At 43.5% G+C, this 7120-nt stretch overlaps 1 non-coding gene across 1 annotated transcript; it reads left to right on the forward strand.

Moving 5' to 3' along the window:
- The first annotated feature begins 6714 nt into the window (after window positions 1-6714).
- Window positions 6715-6846, forward strand: LOC124900334 (small Cajal body-specific RNA 11). The gene has a single exon (XR_007063636.1).
- The last annotated feature ends 274 nt before the right edge of the window (window positions 6847-7120 follow it).

A 7120-nucleotide genomic window follows, 5' to 3' on the forward strand; every position in this document is an offset into this window, starting at 1 on the left:
AGGATTAAGAATATAAAATAGAAAGTGAAGAAAGGGGCAGGTATGATGGGTTGCATGCAAGTTAAAATCTTATAGAACATAAACTGAGTAAGCCAGGAATTCAGCTGACAAGGGAGATGAGCAGAGGAAACCCTGAGAGAGAAAAGGAGATATTCAGAGAGACAGAGGCCGTGTGGTCCCTGAAAAACAGACAGAAAAAGTAGCCAATCACTACAGCCATCTCAGTTATTCAATGCAACCCAAATGTAGGTGTTGCTCTGAGGTATTTTGTAGATACGTCTAAAGTTCATAATCCATTGATTTTAGGTGTGGAAGATGATTCTAGATCATTGGGTGTGCCTGATTGAATTAGCTGAAAGAAGTTAAGAACAGAAGCGAGGCTTCCCTGAAGAAGAAATTCCACCTACGGAATATAGCATTGTTCACGTACTAGAGTTCTAGCCTGCCCTTCTTGACAGCCTCCCCTGCAGATCTGGGACTTCCCCTGCCATCCCCCATAACCACCCAGGCCAATATAGCTCCACCTACAGTCCTCTTTCTCCGGTTTAACCCTGACTGTTAAACTCTTTCCTACAGATTGCTCAACCCTCACAAAATGTTTTGTAAGTCATTGTTGGACCACGGACTTGAGCGCTCGAGGCCATCCTATCCAGGTTGATCCCATTGCTGTGGAATGTTACAGCACAGGGGTCCCACAGACGTAGCTTTATGATCACTGTCCCAGGCTATTACATGTGGAAGGACAGTTTTTAGACACTCAGAGAACCATGCCCTCTCCTCTGCTAGATTTCAATTTTACTGAAATTTTCTTAACTCCTTAAAGCTGTGAAATATCCTATAGGGTAATAAGAAAATGCTGGAGAATATAGAATAATGAAATTTTATATTGCTTCCTAAGTTTAAAATAGTATTTCTTTTCTTCAATTTTAATTATTAAAGATAGCCAATGCTTCTTTCTCTCATCTACTCTGTCTTCCTGGAGATAACCACAGCTAGTAGGTTGGAGTTTCTCTTTAGCCCTTTTGCTAAGCATATGTATATATGTATGGATATGTTTGAAAAGAAGGCTATATGTGTCTGTGTGTGTTATCTATCTACACACACACACACACACACACACGTTAAAACATAAATGAGATCAAGCTATGCAAATTATTTGTCCAGTTTTTTGTTTTTGTTTTTTTTTTGAGACAGGGTGTCACTGTGTCACCCAGGCTGAGTACAGTGGCGCCATCACAGCTCATTGCAGCCTCAATTTCTCAGGCTAAGGTAATCCTCCTCCATCAGCCTGAGTAGCTAGGACTACAAGCACAAGTCAGCACACCCGGCTGCTTTTTTTTTTTTTTTTTTTTTTCAAAGACGGAGTCTCACTCTGTTGCCCAGCCTGGAGGTCTGTGGTGAGATCTTGGCTCACAGCAACCTCCGCCTCTTGGGTTCAAGCAATTCTCATGCCTCAGCCTCCTGAGTAGCTGGGATTATAGGCACCCATCACCAAACCTGGCTAATTTTTGTATTTTTAGTAGAGACAGAGTTTCACCATGTTGGCCAGGCTGTTCTTAAACTCCAGACCTCAAGTGATCCTCCCGCCTCAGCCTCCCAAAGGGCTGATATTACAGGCATGAGTCACTGCATCTGGCTGACTCTGATCTTTTAGATGTTGGCATTTTAAGATGAAAAGTTTGGCTGATCCAAAGGTAGCAAGTTACCTCAATTGACTGTTCACAGTTGCAGATGAAACTCCTTGTTCTATTCTTTCCCTACCTTCCCACTGCTGCACTTGACTAGTCTTTAAAAAGAAGTCCTTAAAATGGGCCAGGCTTGGTGGCTCACGCCTGTAATCCCAGCACTTTGGGAGGCTGAAGTGGGAGGATCACCTAAGGTCAGGAGTTCGAGACCAGCCTGGCCAACATGGTGAAACCCTCTCTCTACTAAAAATACAAAAATTAGCCGGGCATGCTGGCGGGTGCCGGTAATCCCAGCTACTAGGGAGGCTGAGGCAGGAGAATTGCTTGAACCCAGGAGGCGGAGGTTGCAGTGAACCTAGATTGTGCCATTGCACTCCATCCTGGGCGACGAGAGCAAATCTCCGTCTCAAAAAATAAAATAAAATGAACAAAAATGACGAAAGAGCTGAGAAAATTTGATTAGAGCTGTTAACATCATTGCGATATTTAGGATATTTAAGAAAACTTGTTTTGCCGTTTTGTAGGTTTAATTTATTAGATTTACTTGCAAATCTGCCATGTAAAGCATTTAAGCTGGTTAAAAGAGTTTATGTTAATATGCACGATGTAATTTAAAACATTAAAATTAGTGTAAGCTGGGTGCTGTTGTGCGTGCCTGTAGTTCCTGCTACAGGGGAGGCTGTGGCAGGAGGATCACTTGAGCCTAGTGGTTTGAGTCCAGCCTGGGCAACATAGCAAGACTCCAGGAAAGGAAAGGAGAGGAGAGGAGAGGATGGGGGAGGGGAGGGGAGGGGAGGGGAGGGGAGGGGAGGGGAGGGGAGGGGAAGGGAAGGGAAGGGAAGGGAGGGAAGGGAAGGGAGGGGAAGGGAGAAAGGAGGGAGGGAGGGAAGGAAGGAAGGAAGGAAGGAAGGAAGGAAGGAAGGAAGGAAGGAAACAGTGTAATCAAATTTGCCAATAGGATTTTTTAGCCAGTTGTGGCAGCTCAGGCCCGTAATCCCAGTGTTCTGGGAGGCTGAGGCAAGAGGATCCTTTGAGGCCAGGAGTTTGAGACCAGTTTGGTCAACATAGCAAGTGTCCATCTCTACAAATAATATTTTATTTATTTTATTATTTTTTAATTAATTAATTTTTTTTTCTATATAGAGACGAGGTGTCACTGTGTTGCCCAGGCTGGCCTCAAACTTCTGGGCTCAAGTGATCCTCCCGCCTCGGCCTCCCAAAGTGCTGGGATTATAGGCAAGCATCACAGTGCCCGGCCCTCTACAAATTATTTATTTACTTATTTACTTATTTTGAGACAGGGGCTCGCTCTGTCACTGGGGCTGGAGTACAGTGGTACGACCTCGGCTCACTGCAACCTCTGCCTCCTGGGCTCAAGCGCTCCTCCCATCTCAGGCTCCCCAGTAGCTGGCAATACAGATGCGCGCCACCACACCTGGCTAATTTTTTGTATTTTTAGTAGAGATGGGGTTTTACCATGTTGCCCAGGCTGGTCTTGAACTCCTGAGCTCAAGCCATCCTCCTGCCTCGGCCTCCCAAAGTGCTGGGATTACAGGCATGAGCCACTACGCCCGGCCTCTACAAATAATATTTTTTAAAAAAGTAGTCGGGCATGGTGATATATGCTTGTAGTCCCAGCTACTTGAAAGACTGAGGTAGGAGGATTGCTTGACCCTAGGAGTTTGGGACTGCACAGTGAGCTATGATCATACCATTGCATTCTAGCCTTGGTGATAGAATGCCGGATCTGTCCCACAGACCCTGGCCGAGCGATGGATGAAAGGAATACTCAGACACAGGTATGCAGTGTCAGAGCCGCTAGGGGACTGCTGGCAGAGTAAGCAGTCTCGAGCAGCTGGAGCTGCTTGCATTTATTTAGTACAGACATAATGCGAAAGTCTGGAGCAAACACAATCTGCAGGTAATTAACATTATTGTTCCCCCTTACCTGGAGCAGTCACTCGGGGTTGGCCAAAGATAGTTTCTGGACAACATGGGTAAACAAGCCTATTTAGATAAATTCCGCTATACTTCCTTGTACCTATTTCTTGCCCTCTGCCTCAGGGTAAGAAAACAGGTGCCTCCAGCTTATTCTCCCCAGAAGCTTTGCAGAGCCTTCTGACATTTCAAAAGGTCTGCTTCTTTCCCTATAGCTTCTTCCACCACTCTGACCTATCCCCCACAACAAAGCAAGATTCAGTCTCAAAAAAAATAATAATTCTGTTTTTAAAAATATAATCTCTATCTTGGGTTGCTCCAATATTAAAGAACAAGTGAAAGTGGTTGTCATCTAATGCAAAAAATTAGATTTGTAAGTCATATAACACAATTTTTCAGTTGGAAATAGGACCAGGCATGGTGGCTCACACCTGTAATCCCAGCACTTTGGGAGGCCAAGGCAGGCGGATCACTTGAGGTCAGGAGTTCGAGACCAGCCTGGCCAACATGGCAAAACCCGGTGTCTACCAAAAATACAAAAATTAGCCAGGCATGGTGGTGCATGCCTGTAATCCCAGCTACTCAGGAGGCAAGAGAGTTGCTTGACCAGCGGGGAGGCAGAGGTTGCAGTGAGCCAAGATCATGCCACTGCACTCCAGCCTGAGCAACAGAGCAAGCCTCCATCTCAAAAAAGAAAAAAAAAAGTTTGAAATAAAGGCTTAAAATTCCAAAATACTATGAATAATGCTTTCTGTGATGAAAAGTGTTTTTTTGTTTTTTTTTGGTTTTGTTTTTTGTTTTGAGATGGAGTTTCGCTCTTGTTGTCCAGGCTGGAGTGCAGTGGCACGATCTTGGCTCACTACAACCTCCGCCTCCTGGGTTCAAACGATTCTCCTGCCTCAGCCTCCCAAGTAGCTGGGATTACAGGCGCCCGCCACCAACCCCAGCTAATTTTTGTATTTTTAGTAGAGACAGGGTTTCACCATATTGGCCAGGCTGGTCTCGAACTCCTGACCTCAGGTGATGCACCCACCTCGGCCTCCCAAAGCGCTGGGATTACAGGTGTGAGCCACTGTGCCCAGCTGCCAACTTTCATTTTAAAACTTCATATAATATTTTATCCATGTACATGGATTGCCAAAGCTTATTGAAGGCAGAGACTTTTTTGAATTAAAAGTTTTCTTTATATATCTTCATGATGTCACAATGCTATGCACATAGTAGAGTAATCAGCAAATATTTGGAAGAATAAATAAATAATTAACAAACTCTATTTCTCATGAAATCTTAAAAATAATTATTGTTGGCTGGGCACGGTGGCTCATGCCCGTAATCCCAGCACTTTGAGAGGCCAAGGTGGGTGGATCACTTGAGATCAGGAGTTCGAGACCAGCCTGGCCAACATAGCTAACCCCCATCTCTATGAAAAATACAAAAAATTACCGGGGCATTGTGGTACATGCCTGTAGTTCCAGCTACTCAGGAGGCCAAGACAGGAGAATCACTTGAACCCAGGAGGCAGAAGTTGCAGTGAGCTGAGATCACGCCACCGCACTCCAACCTGAGCGACAAAGCAAGAGTCTGTCTCAAAAAATAATAATAATAATAATAGTCATTGTCTCTATTACAAAGTGATTCTCAGTAATGTATAAGAAACAGTGAACATTACAGACTATTGCAATAGACTAAGCAAAAGTTATTGATGGCTTGAACTAAAGCGTGTCAATGGCTTCCAGCCTAAAGGCACCAGGAGCACACCTAGCGTTGAACAAATTGGGTCTATTACTCATTGCAGTGAGGGGAGAGCACACATCATGGGGAGACATGAGCTATGAGTTGTCTCAGTGAGAGGTTGTTAGAAAGAACGAGTAATAGAAGTTGGACTTTGGTAAGCGTATAGAGCACCCTTCATGTAACTAACTCCAGCCGGGCGTGGTGGCTCATGCCTGTAATCCCAGCACTTTGGGAGGCCAAGGCAGGAGGATCCCTGGAAGTCAGAAGTTCGAGACCAGCCTGGCCAATATGGAGAAACCCCATCTCTACTAAAAAAAACAACTAGCTGGGTGTGGTGATGCATGCCTGTAATCCCAGCTACTCAGGAGGCTGAGGCGGGAGAATCACTTGAACCCAGAAGCCAGATGTTGCAGTGAGCAGAGATCACGCCATTGCACTCCAACAGAGTGAGACTCCAGCTCAAAATAAAACAACAAAAAGACATAACTAACTCCATCTTATTAAAAAAGACGCCATTTTACATTTCATAGGGCACTTTGCCAATAAGAATAACACGTTCTGTTTAATAAATTAATTTTTTTTAAAGGCTGCATACAACCAGATAAAAACACAAACACACTCTTCCACTATCAGTTCTCACCAAATACTCTATGAATATGAAACAGATTAGCCCTTCAACAACTCAAAACAGCCATCCTAAGTGACACTTTCTTGCAGTCACTCATGATAAAAACCTGGCATCTGCCACCAAAGGCTCTACCACCTCCCAGTTTTCCTTACATGACCAGCAAACCACCCACCCCAGACCCGGACTCCTTTTATCATCTTCACTCCTACTAAACTAGTTCATTAACCCTTTCTCCTAGCTCTCTCTCTCTCTCTTTTTTTAATGTTAAATGTTACTTTGTTTATCGTAAAATACTTAACCTATAATATTTATATATTAATTTAATATACTATAATAATGTATGGTTTACAATATTGACTGACTTATAAAGTGACTTGAGCCCGTGTCTCTGGGGCTCTGACTACCAAAGAAACAAAAAGTACTTTAAAAAAATGGCCTCCTTAAGAACTCCATATAATCTGTAACTTTTGTGATTAAAATAACATCGATAAAATCCTAACATTGTAAAAACACACAAAAATACATAGACTTGGTTATTTCTAACCTTACACCACTCATGACAGTCGGGTGATTTGGAGGGAAGGTCAAATAAAATGAAGATTTGCTCTGGATTAGATGTTGTTAGGGAATCGGGTCAATTCTGTAATTGGGGATGTGAATAGATATTATCTCAGGGAGGGCAGGTTAGAACAAGGATAAAGCTGTAATTGGTAAAGAAGTAGCAGTCACTTGTCCTGGCCTAGGCCATTTCTGCTCCCCCGCGCTCAGTCCTAGCAGAGTAGTCTGGCAGGACGCACAGCAATCTCCCTCTCAGTTTAGGAGGGCCGTCTCCTAAGAATAGGGCTGGCAGGAAAGGACAATTTAAGATTAAAAAAGAAGAAAGAAAATGTAGCAGTCATTCCTTTTTAGCCAAGAGAGGGATGTTTGATATTTTGTGTTTGATATTTTGTGGGTGGCACAGTGAACATATTTGTTTGTTCGTTTTGTGTATTTAGAAAAAATTATGAAGAGGCTTTGCTTTCTCTTATTTTATCATAGTCTTAGAGTAACTTTTTCTGAGGTTGGGAGACTGTTACGTCCAATAGGAAAATAATTTGTCTTAGCTGTGAGTATCAAGCCAGCTTTCAACTGTCAG

Source organism: Homo sapiens, chromosome 12, assembly GCF_000001405.40.
Source record: "Homo sapiens chromosome 12, GRCh38.p14 Primary Assembly".
NCBI classification, from domain to species: Eukaryota; Metazoa; Chordata; class Mammalia; order Primates; family Hominidae; genus Homo; species Homo sapiens.